Here is a 22,016-nt window from a genome sequence, read left to right on the forward strand (position 1 = left end):
TTTTATTCAAAGTCATCTTCCTGCTCACTGAGACAGATGCATATCTGATTGCCTCCTTTGGAAAGGCTAATCAGAAATTCAAAAGAATGCAACCATTCCTCTCTCACCTATCTGTGACCTGGAAGCCCCTTCACCACTTTGAGTCTTCCTGCCTTTGCTTTAAGTTATCCCGCCTTTCCAGACCAAACCAATGTACTTCTTACACATATTGATTGATGTCTCATGTCTCCCTAAAATGTATAAAACTAAGCTGTGCCCTGACCACCCTGGGCACATGTCGTCAGGACTTCTTGAGGCCGTGTCATGGGCGTATGTCCTGAACCTTGGCAAAATAAACGTTCTAAATTAACTGAGATCTGTCTCAAATTTTGGGTGTTCACACTTATCAGACTTAAAAGGGTACCTTAGTTGATTGTCTCCTGGGTCTGGAAAGAAAGAAAGAAAAAAAAAAGTGGGTGGAAAGGAGATTCTCTATAGAATGTGGATCTTTCCCACAAGAGACAACCTTGCAGGGCAATTTCAAGATACGGCAAAGAAATATATTTGGAGTTAAAATATTTTTATTTCTTTTCTTATTTGTTATGTGAAGTTATGCCAGAGTCAGGTGGGAAAGCAGGCTAGATTATATGGGGTGAAATAAAACCCCTCTGATGAGACTTCACTGTTTGTAGGGTGTGCCTCCCTAGGCCTGTTAGGTAGAACTTGCGTAAGATTTTTTTTTTTTTTTTTTTTTTGAGAGGGAGTCTTGCTCTGTCACCAGGCTGGAGTGCAGTGGCGCGATCTCGGCTCATTGCAACCTCCGACTCCCTGGTTCAAGTGATTCTCCTGCCTCAGCCTCCCAAGTAGCTGGGATTACAGGCATGTGCCACCACGCCCAACTAATTTTTGTGTTTTTAGTAGAAATGGGGTTTCACCATGTTGGCCAGGATGGTCTTATCTCCTGACCTCATGATCTGCCCCCCTTGGTCTCCCAAAGTGCTGGGATTACAGGCATGAGCCGAATTTGGGTAAGACTTAAAAAATCAGAATTTAGTTCTCAAAGTCAACTCTGCTCCTGAGGTAAGAAAGAAGGTAGGTGGGCAGGTAGGCTTGGAAGTTGCCTTCTGCCTTGTATCCTTTCTCAGCCAAGCTCCACTCCAGTGATACTCCTTTTCCTCTCAGTATTGACTTTAAATGATATGGAAAATTTTGAAAAGAAATGCTTCTTTTAGAGACTGGGTCAGCAACAGAAGCACAGCTTTAGACAGTAAAAGGAAATCACCATGTCACCACCCTTTATTCTGGATGCTGGTGACTATGCCCCTTTTAAATTTTCAAGGATCTTAGTAAATTAAATGATGAGTACTGGCTTTGGCTATTATGCACCTTCAAAAGCATGCCTAGCCAGCATTCAGGAAGCTAACTTTTCTCTTGAGAGAATCTATCAGGTGGCTAATGTTCAATAAACTGGATCTAATATTTGTAGTATTATGTTGTGGAACTTCACCTTACTGTGTTGAGAATACTATCTTCAAATCTGGCATAAAACAAAAAAATTAAAAATTAAAAACAGGTAATTACAGAAAAGCATTATTTTGCATCTCTAAAATTTAAGAATGACATTACACATCTCCCCCAAAACTTTTATAGATCTGTCAGCCAGGAAAATTTTAGGATCCTATTATGTTCAAGATTCTGCCATATGCAAGAAAAGAAGAGAGCGATAAAGGTAATAGAAACAATAGTTCCCACATGGAACAATGCCTTCAAAACCAGAATATCTAAAACAAAGACATAAATAACAGCAGCAGCAGCAGCAGCAGGGTATCAAGGACCTTTTTACTAGATAAACTAAATATTCAAGTTTTGAAAAGATGCAAAATCTTTCTTTAAAAAAAAGAGGAGTTGGCTGGGCGCAGTGGCTCACACCTGTAATCCCAGCACTTTGGGAGGCTTAGGCGGGCAGATCACGAGGTCAGGAGATCAAGACCATCCTGGCTAACACGGTGACACCCTGTCTCTACTAAAAATACAAAAAAAAAAAAAAAAAAATTAGCCGGGTATGGTGGCGGGCACCTGTAGTCCCAGCTATTCGGGAGGCTGAGGCAGGAGAATGACATGAATCCGGGAGGCGGAGCTTGCAGTGTGCCAAGATCGCACCACTGCACTCCAGCCTGGGTGACAGAGCGAGACTCTTGTCTCAAAAATAAATAAATAAATAATATAATAAAAAATAATAAAAAAAACAGGAGGCAAATGGAGTCAATTACTGAAGGGAATGAAAGAATAGGAGAGAAGCAAAAGCACACCAGGAGGAAAGAAGACTGTGTATATGAGATTGAGAACAAAGAAACCATTAAGTAGGACTTACTACCAAATTAGTTTGGCTCCATTTAGGGAAGTAAGAAGAGATAAGAAGTAAAGATGGGGAGGAGTTAAAATGCTAACTTGTGTGATATATAAATTTGATACAGTGGACCTTGATGAGAAGGGTACTTGATGGGGATTAATCCAGCAGCAGAATATAGGCTCTAATATAGACAGAAACTAGGGTCTGGGAAAACGTCAAAAAGGCTATTACAGTAACTTAGCACTGAGATGCAAATCACTGAGGTGGTGGCTAGAGCTATAAAAAGGAAAGGATAGGTCTATAAACTAAAAATAAAATTCTAAGCCCACCAACTGACTGATGGGTCATCTCTTGGCCAACGGGACCCCAAAGTAACCTTGAAAACTAAATTCTTGGCTATGACGGGATGGGGGGTTCAAACCCACCTCATTATACCCCTTCCCTCGCAAACCACGATTAGCCTTTCTTCTCTAACTACCAAACAGAAACTAGCCATTTCAAAAAAATCCACCACTGCTATCAACCAACCACCTGATACTGTCCCTCCTTTTTTGCCTGATAAGAGACTACCAACCACAGAATGGTTCTGGCTGGTCTACAGAGAATGTACAGTAAGGGCTTTCATGTCTTCTGCTTCACCTTTTGATGTCAGAGGGCTGAAAACTCCACTCTCTGACCACGCTATTACTGCCATTTTGTGTGTATAAGACCCATGAAGGACGTGTTTCTCCTTTCATAAATATTCATGACTCCCCCTACAGCTTATTGAATATGTATATACGGCCACCCTGCTCAGCATGAATTCCTGTTCCCTTTGCCCATCCCTCCAAGTGTATGTTTTTGCTTCTGGCTGGAGGCTACACTTCCCAGCCTGTCAGAATGGCCACCCTGAAGGTTGTAACCCTTTATAAGAAATAAAGTCTCCTCTTCTCTTCTCAATTTATAAATCATATTTTTTAAGTTAACATGTCCAAGGTTTATTACCATGTAATCAGTGCCATTTAACACTGAACAAAAATAGAGCTCATGGAGGAGTTGTCAGAAAACTCCAAGATCAAGAGTTTAAGATAGAGAAGATAATGAAGAAACTTGGAAGGCTTACTGTTAGGGAACAACTGAATATACATTTTTCACACATTATATTCCAGTTGTTGATGGAATACAGAATTTTTTTTTTATTAGACTGCAGTTAGGCTTAAGAGGAAACTCTAAGCTACCTAAATGACAAAGCTAATTAAAATTGAGTGAATGGTTCCCAATACCAAAAGGCTGGAAGAATATTGTATTTATGTGGAAAAAAGAGAAAGAAAAGAAAAATGCGCTAGCCAAAGATGACTAGAAACAAACTAATACCATAAAAGTCAGAGGAGGATGAAATTGAAGGCAACTGAGAAGCCTGGAAACACATAAACTAATGGCAATCCTTGTTTTCAGACACAATATATTCTTGAGAAATGGATGGCCATAACATGAAATCCTGACTGTCCACCTGTTTAGACAATAACAGAAACCAAAGTACTACAAAGCCTCAGAGTCAAAGGGGGCCTTAAAAGTCATCCAGTCTTAATAAGTGGTGTGGGGACAGGTAGATATTCACATGTAAAAGAATAAAATTGGACCCCTATCTCATACCATATACAGAAATTAACTCAAAATGGATGAAAGACCTAATTATAAGAGCTGAAACTTTAAAATCTTACAGGAAAACATAGACATAAATCCTTGTGACTGTGGATTAGGTGACAGTTTCTTAGACAGGACACCAAAAGCACAAACAACAAAACAAAAGGTAGGCAAAGTTGATGTCATCAAAATTTTAAACTCTGGTGCTGCAAATGACACCATTAAGAAAGTGAAGACAACCCACTGAGTGGGAGAAAATATTTGCTAATCATGTATCTGAAAAGGGTTAGTATCCAAAATATATAAAGAATTCTTACCACGCAACATTAAAAAGACAAATAGGCCGGGCGCGGTGGCTCACGCCTGTAATCCCAGCACTTTGGGAGGCCGAGACGGGCGGATCACGAGGTCAGGAGATCGAGACCATCCTGGCTAACACGGTGAAACCCCGTCTCTACTAAAAATACAAAAATTAGCCGGGCATGGTGGCGCGTGCCTGTAGTCCCAGCTACACGGGAGGCTGAGGCAGGAGAATGGCGTGAACCCGGGAGGCGGAGCTTGCAGTGAGTCGAGATCGCGCCACTGCACTCCAGCCTGGGCGACAGAGTGAAACTCCGTCTCAAAAAAAAAAAAAAGACAAATAAACCAAGTAAAAATAAACAACTGTGGCCAGGTGTGGGGGCTCATGCTTGTAATCCCATCACTTTGGGAGGCTGAGGTGGGCAGATCATTTGAGGTCAGGAGTTCAAGACCAGCCTGGCCAACATGGTGAAACCTCGTCTCTACTAAAAATACAAAAAAATTACATGGGCGTGGTGGTGCATGCCTGTAATTCCAGCTACTTGGGAGGCTGAGGCAGGAGAATCGCTTGAACCCAGGAGACAAAGGTTGCGATGAGCAGAGATCACACCACTGCACTCCAGCCTGGGGGACAGAAGTGAGACTCGGTCTCAAAAAAAAAAAAAAAAGAGCAAGGGATCTGAATAGACATTTCTCCAAGGAAGACAAACAAATGTCCAATAAGCACAGGAAAGGATGCTTAACACCATTCGCCACCAAGGAAATGCAAATCAAACTCACGAGGAGATACCACTTCACACTAACTAGGATGGCTATAATGAAAAAGATAATAGCAAGTGTTTGAGGGATGTAAAGAAAAAGGAACTCTCATACGCTGCTAGTGGGAATGTAAAATGGTGCAGCTGCTTTGGAAAACAGTCTGGCAGTTTCTCAAAAGGTTAAACATAGAGGACCATGTGACCCAGAAATTCCACTCTTAGGTATACAGCCAGGAATATGCTCACACAAAAACTTGTACACAAATGTTCACAGCAGCATTATTCATAGTATCTAAATGTCCATCAACTTATGAATAGATCAACAAAATGTAGTATATCCACACAACACAGTATTATCCAGCCATAAAAAGGAATAAAGTACTGATCCATACTACAACATGGATGAACTCCGAAAATATTATAAGTGAATACAGCCAGTCATGGAAAACCACATATTATATGGTTCCATTAATAAGAAATATCCAGGATAGTCAAGTCTATAGGACAGAAAGTAGACTAGTGATTACCTAGAGCTGGGGTTTGGAGGGGTGCAGAGGAAGGAAAAAGTGACTGCCTAATGTGTATGAGGTTTTTGGTGGGGAGGTGTGTGATTTAAAAAGTTCTAAAATTGACTGTAGTGATAGTTGCACAACTCTACGAATATACTAAAAACTACAGTGACTGTACATCTTAAATAGGTGAATTGCATATGTAAATTACGTCTCAATAAAGCTTTTTTTTTTTAAAGACAGCTAGTCTAACCACCTGTGTTTGATACTCTCATATGCTTCAAATTGTGGTCCTAATTCTGCTGAATACCTCAGGATAGAAAACAATGCTTTCTCCAGGAAGCTCATCCTACCTCTACACAGCTCTGACTGATAGGACTGTCTTTATATAGAGTTGATGAGTGAGTAACAGGAGAAAGAAAGAAAACAAAAAATAGGGTTTCAAAAAGCAATGCTGAATAAAACATGATGAGGTCCAAAGAAACCTATGTTAGAACTGATTAAAGAAGTTAATTGATAAGGAAACCTGTATTAGAATTAAGGTTATTGATAACATCAAAGAGATGTTGAAAAAGTAAAAAATACTATTTTCAAAGACAGAAGAGGGATTTGGAGAGCAATGGAACATATAGACTAGATAGCAAAAAATATGTTTTATATCCTAGAAGAAATCTGAGTACTTTACATGCGGTATTATTGTTCACATATTTACTGCTGAGCACTTAACAATGTGACAGACACTATGTCAGGCTCTGAGATTAGAATGACAAATAGAACAGAATCTCTGTCTTTAAAAAGAGTTTACAGACAGGGAGCATAGTTACAATGACATGGTAACTCTACCTTAACCGTCAAATCCAATGGCTTTTTGTCAGTTCTCACTCTTAGTTTTCTGCAATACAAAAAAGTAATTATCACATAGTGGTCATTCAATAAATATTGGATTAATCTGAATAAATCCTTGTCAAATTTTCCTGCCTTAATCTCTATGGCACATTACTCTTCTCTTTTTCCACTGGTCCTTCAACCTATTCCTTCTCAATCTCTTTCACTGGTTCTTCTTTAATCCCCTTCCCCAATACTTTGTCTCAGCCTGTTCTTTCTTTATACTTTCCTTCAGCAAACTCATTTATTCAAGGAATACACTGTAATTTCCAAAATGTGTACTTCTAGTTCTGACTTTTCCCCCAAGCTCTTGTCTCTTATTTCTTAATACAATCAGTATATATGTCTTCTTGTATGTCTACCACCTCAAGCCTAAAAATGAACTCATTTTCACCTCCTAAAACCTGCTCTCCTCTTGTATTTCCTTTCTTTGTAGATTCATTCTCTCCAAACTTCAGGCTTGAGACCTACAACCTCTGCTACCTGTGACACTTAAGACGGTAGGCAACAATGACAATGCTGCATTTGGCAAAGATTTCTCTTCTCGTAAAGTTAACAGGCCTCTACAGGTAGCAACCTCACCTCTTGGATCTTGGTACCACCATGTTTCTTAAAACTGAATAGCCCAGAATCTATAAAAAGTCAATGATTATAAAACATTTGGAAATTTCTAGTGGGAATTTTTTTTTTACAAAAGAAAAATTTGAAACTATGAAATATGCCAGGTATATAAAAGTATACATACTTTATGAACATTTGTATATCCACTGCCCAAATATAACTGAAGTCCCTTGTGTACTTTTCCCCCACACCCTCTCTGAGATAAACACCATTCTGATTTTGGTGCTTATTATCAGAATGCGTGCTTTTAGATTTTATTGCATTAACTATGCATCTATAAACAATATATAAGCATCTATAAACAACATATAATATTGCCTTGAATGTTTTAAAACTTCATATTGTGTATAGGCAGTGGTGACGGTTGCACAACAGTGTGAATGTACTTAATGCTACTGAACTGTTTACCTAAAAATGGTTACCACAATTTTAAAAAGTCCTTTATATTATGGGATTATATTGGACACATGCTTCTCCAACTTTCCTTTTCTGCCTTTTTTTCCAGGTGGGGAATGAACACTTTGGCCAACAAATGTATCCATGTTGACATGTATAGCTCTAGTTGATTCATTTAAACTGCAATATAGCATCACATTGTATGACCATATTATAATTTATTTACCCCTTTTTCTGCTGATAAACATTTAGATTATTTTCAATTTTTCTCTATTACAAATGTTCTAGTTCACAGTTACATTACAAATAAGATTTGTGTTTTTTTAAGTTTGCTTTATTAAAAACAGCTAAAGAGATCAGAATAAAGATATCAGAACATAAAACTGTAGGTTTTCTAATCTAGAAAACAAAACAGCTATGTGACTATCTCTATAGGTACTTAAGTATTCTGTAAAAGGGAACATGACTAAATCCTAATTGTTTATTGAAAGCTTTGCCCATATTCAGGTTTCCTTAATTATTAAAATTTAATCCCAGCATTTAGCAAGGCTGAGGTGGGAAAACTGCTTGAGCCCAGGAGTTCAAGACCAGTCTGGGCAAGATGGCAAGACCTCCTCTCTACGAAAAACTTTTATAAATCAGCCGGGTGTGGTGGCATGCACCTGTAGTCCCAGCTACTCAGGAGGCTGAGGCAAAAGGACTGCTCAAGCCCAGGAGTTTGAGGCTGTGGTGAGCTATGATCACACCACCGCGTGATCAGCCTGGGCAACAGGAGACCCCATCTTAAAAAAAAAAAAAAAAAAAAAATTCACTTAAGTTATCATTTAAGCTTAACTAAAAACTTAATGTCAATGGATTCTGGCCAGGTGAGGTGGCTCACGTCTGTAATCCCAGCACTTTGGGAGGCCAAGGCGGGCAGATCACCTGAGGTCAGGGGTTCAAGACCAGCTTGGCCAACACGGTGAAACTCCGTCTCTACTAAAAATACAAAAATTAGCTGGGCATGGTGGCACATGCCTATAATCCCAGCTACTCGGGAAGCTAAGGCAGGAGAATCGCTTGAACCCGGGAGGCGGAGGTTGCAGTGAGCCAAAATCGCGCCACTGCACTCCAGCGTAGGTGACAGTGAGACTCCGTTTCAAAAAAAAAGAAAAGAAAATGGATTTTACAAAGTGAAGCTCTACTTTCCTTTGTTAATAACCATACCTATTGCTAAAAACAAAAACAGAAACTTCAGCACTGTTAACAAAAGAGTTTTCTGAAAGCAACATTAACTCATCTGCAGCATTTCATTCTTGGGGCAAATAAATCTATAAAGAACTGGACATGTTTCTATTTTAATAAAAAATAGAAACAGCGGTTCAAGAAAGGTCTTAAGGGGGCCAGTTGCTTAAGATAGCCAAGCTTTTCCCTAAATATTGAGGAAGCTGTAGAAGCCATATTTGATTCAGCATTACTTGAAGTAGAAGCCAAGACAATAGCTGTTTCTTCCTCACCGGTCTCCTCCAAGGGCCCTATCTTGTTACATTTCCCTTCTACCTGATTCTGCTTTGTTCTCTACTGCTTTCACATTTTCTGCTAATTTAATCAGATTTCTTTCATCTTTTATCAACCTCTCCATTCTCAATCCATCCTATATATTACTAAAAGAGATCATTGTGTGTCTAAGTTGCTTAGCACAGGGCCCGATCCACACACTCAATACACATCAATTACCACTGTTTTGTTACCAGAATAATCTTCCTAAAGCACAATTCTAACTGGTCTTGCCAGTTCTCTGATCAAAAGCTTCTAATAGTTTCCACTGATGACAAGAGGCTGTATTACAGCAGAATGGAGGTAGCAGAGTGAAGTGGAATGAGTGCCACCTTTTCAGTCAGTTACTGGTTAAGATTATGGCTGTGCCTCCCACTATTTCAGTGGAGGTTAAATTAATCTTTCTAGGGCTCATTTTCATCATCTGTAAAATGGGCATGATATCTACTTTCCAGAGTTTACAAGAATTACAGATTAAATAATATCATATATACAAAGCACCTAGCACATATAGTAGGTATTTAACAAATTCTGATTTTCCCTCCCCACAAACTGAATTCCTAAACAACTGAATTCCATAATCTAACCCAAAAGTGCTCTTCACACTACTTTCCCATTACATACCACTCATTTAGTCAAACTAGGGTTCTCACCATGCTTTGAACCTGACTTTCACCTTCTTGCTTCTGAGCCTATGCTTATCCTCCAGTGGCTTTGCTTTCCTCTCCAACTCCACATATCTAAATCCAGCCAATCCTCCAAGGCCCAGGCCAGATACTGCCCCCATGCCCCCGAAGCATTTTCTCATGCTATTCCCCATGCCTGTAAAACACACTGCTTGAGCCTCTTTAATTGCACTTACCACACTTGGCCTTAATCAAGAGTTTTATTAATGTGTCTTATAGCCTGTACTTAAATGAACCGGGAAACAAAAACAGGTAACATTTTCCACTAAACACCATCTCTATCCAATTTTATTTGGTGTATATCATATCTGAGAACTAGAAAAGCAGCCTCTAACATCTAAAAGTTGGCCTGGTATTATCAACTAGGCATTAATACTGCTATGAGCTGGCTTGGTACTCACAGATAAGTTGTGGTGTTCTCCTGTTACACATAAGCTATTTCAGAACACCAACATTAGACAAGGCCATTCTGTGATCATGACGGATCAAGACAAAAAACAAGACCACTCAGTAATCTGTCTGAACACAGACAAAACATGAACACTGTCCAAGCCACTAAATACCTAATATCCCCCAGTGCTGAGTAATGTGAACGATGGGGCTGCTTTATCAATTACAGCTTTAGCCTTTCTCTAGTTGGCCCTCCCTTTAGATAAACTGTTAAGATACCAGTCCTAGAATTTGCCTTACTTCCTGAAAGCATCTAATTCAGAGTAAAGTACCACATCCTTAAACCATCCTCCAGATCACCTAACACAAACCCAAATCCTATAATGACTTTTTCTAACAGTGCCTTATTGAGATGCCCCACAATTCCCCATGGTGTGCATTCTCCCTTGCTGCAATGAGTAATACACTCAACTTGTTCAACTACAGGTGTGTTCCTAGTGGTCTCCGGCTGGAAGACAAACTAAGAACTTCTTGAATAAAGGCCTAGTGTTTTATTTGTTTGGGTTCCCAGGGCAGGCTCTGGATCTTGCCTACTACAATCTTTGCTGACCTGATTTGGATGAATTATACTGGGAGTGTTAGCCTTTATTAGAATCTCAAGATCCTGCCCAGTCATTTGTAGGGCTAAAAATAGTTTTTTACTTCATTATCCTGCCAGTTTTCAATTTTATAGTTTCTAGAATAGAAACTGGCAATTAGGATGACTGATCAAGCAAGGTATTCCATACCCACTTACCTGTACGTTTCTAAACTTGAAAAAATGCCTAATTTACACGCATTCATGGGCTCTCAAATTGTCTGTTGTTTTCTGTTCATTTCCATAATACATGAACAGGAAAATGACCCTCTGAAATCAAAATGATTTCCTAATCTCTGTCCTTCAAACATTCCTTCAGAGTAGATCTCTGATGCTTCATTAGGGAAAATAAATGGTAACCAACCAAAATAATATATTTGTCTTCAGGCACTTACATACCAACACATAAGAAGCTAGTTTAAGATAACACAGAACTATGTATGTATATGTATGTCATACATGTATATGTGTATATGTTTGTATGTGTATATTTATATACACATATACATGTATCTGTATATTTTCACATCTCAGAGAGATTAAGACTCAGTGGGACACAACTTACTTAGGGAGAACATCGTGACAAAGGGTCTGTGCTATTCCACAGGAACAGGGCCACTGGAGAGGGGCTACTAAGGAACCCTATTTATAAGCATTCAGGCAGGGTCAGCAGGAAAGATGCCCAGATACAGTGTTACTGTGGGAACACCAAAGGTTCCCAGCCAAGTAGAAGTAGTAGATAGGACTCTCTTGAAGCCACCTCCAACACAGAGTGGCACACTGTCATCTTGGAGTACTTCAACTACCCTGCAACCTATTCAAACTCTCATTCAGCTGACAATGGAACAACTGACAAGTTCTTGACCAAGTGTGCTGACATTTTTATGTTCCACAGGTACACAGGGAGAGCAGAAGAACTGCTACTCTGATCAAAGAAGAAGCTCTGATGAAATGAAAGGAGAACCTCAGGAGAATGAGATCTTAGTGTTTCTGACAACAAAGTAGGAATCGTGTAGCACAAACTCTAGGAAGCCAGAGTTAAGAAGTTTTTTGTTTGTTTTTTGTTTTATTTTGAGATGGAGTCTCTGTCACCCAGGCTGCATTTCAGTGGCACGATCTCAGCTCACTGCAACCTCCGCCTCCTGGGTTCAAGCAATTCTCTGCCTCAGCCTCCCGAATAGCTGGGATTACAGGCATCTGCCACCATGCCCAGAGAATTTTTGTATTTTTAGTAGAGACGGCGTTTCACCATGTTGGCCAGGCTGGTCTTGAAATCCTGACCTTGTGATCCACCCGCCTTGGCCTCCCAAAGTGCTGGGATTACAGGCGTGAGCCACCGCGCTCGGCCACAGAGCCTCCTTTCTAAGTAGGAAAAGAGACAATAAACAAGATAATGATAAATACTAAGGAGAAAAAATAAGACAGGGAGAAGGGGTAGGACCGTGTTGGAAGTTAAGATTTTAGCTGGAATGGCCAGAGAAGGCATCAGGAAATGCAGTTTGAGAGAAAACATGAAGACGAAGGGAAAGGCACATGGATATCCAAAAGAAGAGCATTTCAAACAAGGGAAACAGCAAATGCAAAGGCACTGAAGTGGGAACATGCTTGGCATATTCAAGGAACAGTGAGGAGGAAGCCAGTGTGGCCACAACAAAGTGAGACAGATAGAAAAGTAGAAGCAAATGGGGAAGAGAATTACATAGGGCCTTTTGGGTCATGTATAGACTATCTTTTCATCTAAGCCAGGAAGCCACTGTAGAGTTTTGAGGAGGGGAGAGATGTGAGTTGACTTAAGCTTCAACATAATACTATCTGGCAGCTATATTGAGAATAGACTGAAGTGGGGAAGGAGGAAGGAGGCAAACCAGGGTGACAGAGTAAGATGGAATAGAGCAACCAAATAACCAACTGGTTGAATGACCCTAAACAAAACGTTTCCATGAATACAGTGGTGGGACTCTAAAAGCAGTTTTAAATGACTAAGACATTTAAAAAAATAATTTGACCTATCAAGAAAACATGCTGAGGCTGGGCATGGTGGCTCATGTCTGTAACTCCAGCACTCTGGGAGGCCAAGGCAGGCAGATCATCTGAGGTCAAGGGTTCGATACCAGCCTGGCCAACATGGTGAAACTCCGTCTCTACTAAAAATACAAAAAAAATTAGCCAGGCGTGGTGGTGGATGCCTGTAATCCCAGCTTCTCAGGAGGATGAGGCAGGACAATTGCTTGAACTTGGGAGGCAGAGGTTGCAGTGAACTCAGATCCTGCCACTACACTCCAGCCTGAGAAAAAACAAACAAAAAGAGAAAACATGCTGATCATAATCAAAGGTAAAATTGTAAAAAAAGAAAGAAAAAAAGAAAAATTATAACATGGTGGGAAAAATTTGAACACCAACTAGATATTTAATGACATCAAGGAAGTATTGACTTTTTAGGTGTGACAATGGTATTGTGGCTACATTTTAATAAGAATCTGTTTTTAGAGATGCATACTGAAGCATTTAAGGATGAAAAATGATCCAATGTCTAGGATTTGCTTCAAAATAATCCAGTGAATGGGGGGAAAAGTGGGTGGGGATACCCATGACACAAGACTGACCATGTATTGATGGCTGCTGAAGCAGGATGATATGGATTCATTTTACTACTCTCTCAACTTTTGCTTATGTTTGAAAATGTCTTTAACAAAAAGTTTTTTAAAAATCAAGAATGGCACACAGCTAAGAAATGGTAAGCAGATACATTGAATGAAACATTGAATGCTCTGAAAAAATTTCAAGAGCTAGAATTCTTGGCCAAATTTAAACAAATAAAATGCAACAAGGAAAACTACAAATTCCTACATTTCATTCCGAAACATCAAGTGAACAGTAGAAAATGAACAAAACCTAGATGAGCAGCTCCTATTAAAAAGAAGAAAAAAAGGCTCAGAATTCTAATATACAGCAAAGTCAGCAAGGAAAATGCTAAAAACTAGAGCAATCCCCAGAAAGCATTAAGTATAGAAGAAGAAGAGTGCAGGGAAACAACAGATTGCTCTTTCATGAACTGTCTTAGATATGCTGTTATTTGCAGTTCTAAGAGCCTCTTCTGAGAGGGCTGTGTTCAAACACTTGCACCTAGGTCATACCAGGAACGGATGAGGGAGCTAGGGATGTTAACACAGGAAAGAAGACTGAAGAAAGGGACATAATACTACTTTTCCAATTCCTGGATTAATCATCTTACACCTGTAAACCAAAAAGTATCTGGGACAGGCCTCAATCAATTTAGAAGTTTATTTTGCCAACGTTAAGGACACGCCCAGGAGAGAGGTCTGTGCCTTTCTCCAAAGATGATTTTGAGGGCTTCAATATTTCAAGGGGAAAAGTGAGCTGGAGGGGAAAGAAGGGTATGGTAATCTATATGTTGCAAGAGAAAAGGAGCAGGTAGAGGAATAGTCAATTATGTATTCATCTGGTGCTCAGTAAATCGGCACTTCACGTAAGATACGGTGAACATAGAGTAGCTACCTGTAGAGATATTTAATTTTTTATCTGTAGCTACCTGCTTAGGAACAAAAGGAAAGGCAGTTTCTTGCACGACTCAGCTTTCAGCTTAATTTTTTCCTTTTGGCATAGTGAACTGGGGTCCCAAGTTTTTATTTTCTTTTCACACACCTTTAATCTACTTTTCCTCCATTCCTATTTTGGCAAAGGAAATCAACATCTATCCCTTCACCTAAACCTGAGAATAATCCAGATGTCTCCCTCTCCCTCACTTTCCCATTCTATTTTAAAATGTCTCTTAAAATTATTCTCTTCCCTCCAATCTATCCATTGATAACCTCTCTTGCTCTAATATCCATATTTTCCTTTGGGAACTCCTCTCAACTCCAGAGTGGATTCATCAGTATATTCTTTCTACCCACAGCACCACAAGTTAACTTAATTCAAGCCATTAACGTGAACGGATATGTTTGCTGGAACTTCTGGGAAAGAATCTTGGGAGTGAGGCTGGAAGGTGAGAGTGATGGAGGACTTAAAAGAAAAGAGGCCTGGAGCTGTGCCCAGCAAAGTGCTGTAATCCCAGCACGTTAGGAGGCTGAGGTGGGACAATGACTTGAGGCCAGGAGTTCCAGGCCAGCTCTACACACACACGTATATAAATGAGACACTCCCACTTTCTCCGGGCAATGGAATGTGAGGAGGTAATGTCCGAAACTGTTGCTATAAATGAGACACTCACTTTCTCCGGGCAATGGAATGTGAGGAGGTAATGTCCGAAACTGTTGCTATAAATGAGACACTCACTTTCTCCGGGCAATGGAATGTGAGGAGGTAATGTCCGAAACTGTTGCTATAAATGAGACACTCACTTTCTCCGGGCAATGGAATGTGAGGAGGTAATGTCCGAAACTGTTGCAACCATTGCTACCACCCTGAGAGGGCAGCCAGAGCACAGAACCAACTTGAGAACGAACCCAGAGTGAAAAGGACACAGAAAATAAGAGCTAGAGCCCCAGTGTGACAACTGTGAGTCTCTGGTTCAAACCATACTGCAAGACATTTCTAACACAGGGTCTTTTCATTTACACAAGTCAATAAATTCCCTGTCTTAGTCAAGCTGACTTTTCTGTCACTTGTCACAAGCACCCTAACTGGTGAACCCAATGACAATGACTTGGTGATGCTCATGATGTCTCAACTGGATGACTACAACAATCTTCTCCCTGAAGAAATCCTCACAACGCAGTGTCTACACTGCTGCCAGGGTGTCCTTTCTAAAACCAGGTTAAATGTTTCTCTTCTCCTTACACACTCAATGATGCCTCATCTGCCTTTAGAATAAAACCCAATCTCCTTAAGAATGACAGAAAAAAACCTTCACAATTTGGCCCGTGCCAACTTCTCTGGTGTCTTCTCTCACAACTCTGAGGATACTTCAAGGCTCCATGCTTCTTCTTTTTTTTTTTTTTTTTTTTTTTTTTCTTTTTTTGAGACAGAGTCTCACTCTGTCGCCCAGGCTGGAATGCAGTGGTGGGATCTCAGCTCACTGCAACCTCCAACTCCCAGGTTCAAGCAATTCTCCTGCTTCAGCCTCCCAAGTAGCTGGAATTACAGGCGTGCACCATCAGACTGGGCTAATTTTTATATTTTTAGTAGAGACGGGGTTTCTCCGTGTTGGCCAGGCTGGTCTCGAACTCCTGGCCTCAAGCAATCTGCCTGCCTTGGGCTCCCCAAGTGCTGGGATTATAGACATGAGCCACCGTGCCTGGCCCTAAGCCTCTGTGTTTCTTTGCTCAGTATTTCTTCTACCTAGAATGCCCTTCTTTTTCATCTGGATTATTTAAACACACACACACACACACACACACACACACACATACACACACACACACACCCCCCAAAACACTTTAAGAACTGCCTCCTCAATTTAGCCAAGGAAGGTAAAGCTGGGTTAACATCTAAATTTCAATTAATGTAATATGCCACATCAGTAAAGGACAAAACTCACATAATCATCTCATAATCATCTCAACAGACATAGAAAAAAAGTATTTGATAAAATTCAATACCCCTTCATAATGAAAAACACTCAGCAAACTAAGAATACAAGGGAACTTCCTCAACCTGAAAACAGGCATCTACGAAATGCCCCCAGATAACATTACATATGCTAGTAAAGCATACTTCTTAAGATCAAGGACAAGAAAGGATGTTTGTTCTTACCACTTCTATTCAACATTGCACTAAAGGTTCCAGCTAGGGCAGTTAGGCCAAAAAAAGTAAAAATAAAAATAAAAGGCATTCAGATTAAAAAAAAAAGTAAAACTATCTCTATATGCAGACAAGTTCAGCGAGGTGACAAGATACAGTATCAATATACAAAAACTAATTGTCTATACACTAAGGAACAATCTGAAAACAAAATTTATAACAACATCAAAAAGAATAAAATACTTATGAATATATTTAACAAAATAAGACTTTCACACTAAAAACTACAATCTCCTTTAAAATAAATTAAAGACCTAGATAAATAAAAAAGAAATCCTCTGTTCATAGATTGAAAGATTTAATATTGGTAAGATGGCAGTACTCTCCAAATTGCTTCAGTTCACTCTATCAAAATCCCAACTGGCATTTTTTTTTTTTTTTTTGGCAGAAACCAAAGTGATGATCCAAAATTCCTATGGAAATGCTAGGTCACAGGACCCAAAATAGCAAAACAATCTTGAAAAAGAAGAACAAAGTTTGAGGACACATTTCACGATTTCATAACTTAGAAAACTACAATAATTAAGACAGCATGGTACTGGCTAAGGATAAGTATACAGATTAATGTAATATAATTGAGAGTCCAGAAACAAACTCTTACATTTAGAGTCAACTGATTTGACATGGGTGCCAGAACAATTTAATGAGAAAAGAAGAGTCTTTTCAACAAATGGTGCTGGGGCAACTATATATCCACATGAAGTTGGACTCCTACCTTACCCATATACACAAATTAATTCAAAGGGATCAAAGACTTAACTGCAGGAGCAAAAACTATAAAACTTGAAAACATAGGCATAAATCTTCATGACCTTGGATTTGGCAATTTGTCTCAGATATGACACCAAAAGCAGGAGAAACAAAAGAAAAAAGTAGATAAATTGGACTTTGTCAGAGAAAATGTAAAACTTTTCTTATTCAAAGGGCACCATCAAGAACGTGAAGGCAACCACTGAATGGAAGAAAATATTTGCAAATCATATATCTGATAATAGATTTGTACCTAGAATATACAAAGAACTCTTACAACTCAACAATAAAGACAAGACGCCAAGTGTGGTGGCTTACACCTGTAATACCAGTGCTTCAGGAGGCCAAGGTGGGAGGATCACTTGAGGCCAGAAGTTCAAGACCAGCCTGGGAAATATAGTGAGAGCCTCATTTCTGCCAAAAAATTTAAAAATTAGCCAGCTATGGTGGCACACACCTGTAGTCCTAGTTACCTGGGAGGGTAAGGTGGGAGAATCACTTGAGCCCAGGAGTTTGGGGCTACAGTGAGCAATGATGGCACCACTGTATTCCAGCCTGTGCACCAGAGTGAGACCCTGTCTCTCTCAAAAAAAAAAAAAAAAAAAAAAAAAAGACAAGTAATCTGACTTTTAAAGAGGGTTAAAAGGACCTGAATAGACATTTCTCCAAAACAAGATATACAAATAGACAAAGAGTGAATAAACACACAAAAAATGCTCAATGTCATTAGTCATCAGGGAAATGCAAATAAAATCACAATGAGATACCATTTCATTCCTACTAGGATGGCTATCATCAAGAAGACAGATAACAAACAAGTATTGACAAGAAACCAGAAGCCCTCTTACACTGCTGGTGGTCATGTAAAATGGTACAGCTGCTTTGGAAAATGGTCTGGCAGTTCCTCAAAAGGTTAAACATGTAATAACCATACAACCTAGAAATTCCACGCTTAGTTCCAGCCACACTGGAATGCTCACATTTTCCAAATGTATACACTCAAGAGAAATGAAAACATTAAGTCTACACAAAAATTTGTACACAGATATCAGTAGCAACATTATTCATAATAGCTAAAAGGCAAAAATTCAATGTCCATCAATTGATTAATGAATAAATGAAATGTGGTATATCCACACAATGAAATATTATTCAGCCATAAAAAAAGTACTGCTACATGCTACAACATGGATGAACCTTGAAAACATTATGCTAGTTAAAAGACGTCAGTCACAAAAGATCAGATATTATATGATTTCATTTATACCAAATGTCCAGAACAGGCAAATCTATAGAGACATAAAGTAGATGAGTGGTTGCCTAGGGCTGGAGGTGGGCTGGGGGATTTGTGGAGTAATAGCTAAAAAGTACAGGGTTTCTTTGGGGGCTGAAGAAATATTCTAAAATTGGTTGTAGTGATGGTTGTACAACTCTGAATATGCTGAAACCCAATAAATTGTACACTTTAAGTGGGTGAATTGTATGATATATAAATTAGATCTCAAGAAAGCTGTTATCAAAAAAAAAAAAGACTTCCCTCCTCTATGTTCTATGAAACCTGTTTTTTGGGGTTTTTTTTTTGTTTTGTTTTGTTTTTTTTTTTGGCAGAGTCTCACTGTGTTGCCCAGGCTGCAGTGCAGTTACACAATCACACCTCACTGTAGCCTTGACCTCCAAACTTCAAACGATCCTCCCACCTCAGCCTACAGAGTAGCTGGGGCTACAGGTGCACACCACCATGCCCAGCTAATTGAAAAAAAACAAACTTATTTTGTAGAGATGGGGGTCTTGTTATGTGGCCCAAGCTGGTCTCGAACTCCCAGGCTCAAGCAATCCTTCCACCACAGCCTTTCAAAATGCTGGGATTACAGGCATGAGCTGTCACACCTGGTTTATGAAACCCTTCTTAAGTCCCAATAACACTGACCATTGCATACATGTCTCCATTGTTCCCTGCGCAGACTTGAGTAACTGTGACTGACACTCTTGCATTTATCTGCTAACATGTCTGTTTTGCATTTATCTGTTGACATGTCTACTTTCCTTTACTAAACTGTGGCCGCCTCAAAGCATGGAGTTCGCTCATTTTTTCTTGGAATACATAGTGTCTATACACTATGTGCACAGTATGTGATATGGTACATCATAAATATTTGTTAAAAGACTATCTTAAAGGCTTTCATGTGGAAAGGGAACTGTGCTTGTTTCATGCACATCAATGGGCAAAAATGGAAGACATAACAACATGTATTTTTAAGAATTTTCAAATACTCAGGGTTATTCCTTTCTTCAAAGCAGGGATTTCTGGGTTCTGAGAATTCTCTGAATTGATACTGAAATTCTGAGTACAATAAGAGTATGTACCTTTTTCTAGAGAGAACATACAGTTTTAGGCTGAGTGCAGTTGCTCAAGCCTGTAATCCCAGCACTTTGGAAGGCTGAGGCAGAAGGATCACTTGAACCCACGAGTTCGACACCAGCCTGGACAATACAATGAGACCCCCATCTCAACCAAAAACAAAAAAAATTTTTTTTAATTAGCCAGGCATGGTGGCATGTGCCTGTAGTCCCAGTTACTTGGGAGGCTGAGGTGGGAGGATCAGTTGAGCCCTAGAAGTAGAGGCTGCAGTGAGCTGTGATCATGACTCTGCACTCCAGCCTGGGTGACAGAGTGAGACCCAGGGAAAGGGAAAGAGAAAGGGAAAGGGGGCCAGGAAGAGAGGAAAGGAGGGAGGGAGGGACAGAGGGAGGAAGGAGAGAGAAAGAAAGAAAATACATAGCTTTTATAAGATTCTCAATGGTGTATGTAACCCCAAAATGGTTAAGATTTTTTGCTGCAAGTTTCAGTTACTGGAATGTACCATTCAAGGTAAGTTTTTTCCTAGGTTATACTACTTCAGTAGCTTCTCCTTGTCAAAAACAGAATTTACAGTATTGGTAGCTTAATAATCTTAAAGTATTTATTGACTGCCCATTATATGCCAGGTACTGAAGAAACAGTGGTAAACAAGACAAAGTCCCTACCCTTGCAAACTTACATTCTAGAAGGTGAAGACAAAAAAACAAACAAGTAAACACTTAAGAATATTCCATATCATATAGTGATGCCTATCATGAAGAATATAAAACATGATAAAATAGAGAATGATGGGAGAAAAGAGTTATTTTAGTTAGTGTCATCAGGGGAAGTCTCTCTGAGGAGGTTTCATTTGAGCAGAAATTTGAATGATGAGAAGGGCACTGAGGGAAAAGCACAGCACTTCAGGAATAAAGAGAACTGAAGGTACAAAGATCCTAACATGAGAACACTGAATACCAACACTTGAGTTCTCAAGGGAACAACCCATGTCTAATCTCCACTCTACATTTTCTACAACGTTCAGAAGAGTGTCTCCCACTCACAGTCAATAGTACTTGTTCAAGATAATTCACCATAATGGAAAGTAAAAAAAAAAAAAAAAAAGTTTTCGAAGAATCTTCACTGTTCAGGATCATCATGAATTGACTCTTCTTCAAAGTAGACAATATCATTAGACAAAGCAGGTAAAAATCTTTGGGATTATTGCAATAAGACAGAAAGGAAAAAAAAAGAACAAATACGCAAAGATGTTTTAGAAGTCCGTCCCAAGTGGATAGTCTTACAAGCATAAAGATTATCAGGCAAATTCTGTAAACAGAATTATGTGTTCAACCTGCCCTCCACCCCTAAAGCTTGGTGCTTTGCATTTATAGTGTGTATGATGCTCAAGAGAATGGAACTACAGTCAATGTGCATAAAGCAGACGGAAGTGGATTACAGTTCAAAAGGAGCTGTCCAGCAATCAACAGTTTAAACATTACTGGAAGTGTTCAGACACCGTAAAATCATGTCTCAAAGATATTACAAGGATAATTTACAGGAGAAAGTTACCAGTAGAACTTCATGACCTATAGAAAACTGTTCTGGTTCCTTCTCCCAGCCTTCAGCACCGTGCCTTTACACTCATTCTGTAAAAGGCCCCAGTGCAGCTAAGAGGATGAATTTTTAAACACCACATACATCATGCCAACAACGAAGAATTAACAGATAAATACTGTTTCAATAAGGGGAACGTAATAATTTGTTCATAACCACCTCAGTAACTGAAACTGGGGTTATTAAAATCTTCAAGATATATTTTTAAAGGCACAAGAAGAGCCTGAAGCAGTGAGCGCCCAGCACCAAGTTGAAAAAACATAACGACTTAAGGTTTGCTGTACCAATTCCATTTGCCTTGATTTCGTACCAAGCGGCGCGTCAGAAAGTACACGGAAAACCTAAAGAGGGAAACCCAACTGGGAACCCTTGACTCAAAGCACGTGAACAAATGGTGACGAGATGAGTTAAGCCAGCGGGGTAAGAGAGAAGGGACTGCGCCTAAACGGGAGTACGCAAGGCCACCTAGAGGATGCACAGACCTGCATGCATACGTTCCTGACCCTTCCAGCAGCAGAACCATCTGGGCCGCCACCCGCTGATAACAACGGAACCGTGGGCATTGGCCCTTCAACGCCGTCTCGCCCGCCCTCTCCAGTCAGTTTGGTGGATATTTCGGTGAAGGCTGCAGACTCTCAGAGTCACCCCTCCCTCAAGCAGCGTTCTCCGTACTCTTCGGCGCCGGGAAGCTCAGAGGGAGCTGGCCTGCTCTTACCTTCAGGTGTCGGCGGCGGCTCCTGCCGCTTCCCGCGGGACAGGAAGGCCTTGGGCAGCAGCAGCGACAGAGCCAGGACAAGCCCAGAAGCCAGAGCGACTCTCTGCACTGTGGAGTACGCCATGACTGCTCACGGTGGTCGCAGGTGCAGACGCCAGCCGGA

General features: G+C 40.0%; 1 protein-coding gene across 32 annotated transcripts in view; it reads right to left on the reverse strand.

The window, feature by feature from the left end:
• RIC3 (RIC3 acetylcholine receptor chaperone) overlaps nt 1-22,013 on the reverse strand; it is a 76,061-nt gene extending 54,048 nt beyond the window's left edge. For 27 of the 32 annotated variants that reach the window (XR_001747957.3, XR_007062500.1, XR_428851.5 and 24 more), the window contains exon 1: nt 21,854-22,013. Coding sequence is in view for 9 of the 32 variants with exons in the window: in NM_001135109.4 (NP_001128581.1) it covers nt 21,854-21,977 (124 nt within the window). In the remaining 23 variants the exon portion in view is untranslated. Of the gene's footprint in view, nt 1-6,362; nt 6,412-21,853 lie in introns of all 32 variants that reach the window. The other 5 variants (NR_144485.2, XR_002957194.2, NM_001346692.2 and 2 more) reach the window with 1 other exon arrangement.

This window comes from Homo sapiens, chromosome 11 (genome assembly GCF_000001405.40).
Source record: "Homo sapiens chromosome 11, GRCh38.p14 Primary Assembly".
NCBI lineage: Eukaryota > Metazoa > Chordata > Mammalia > Primates > Hominidae > Homo > Homo sapiens.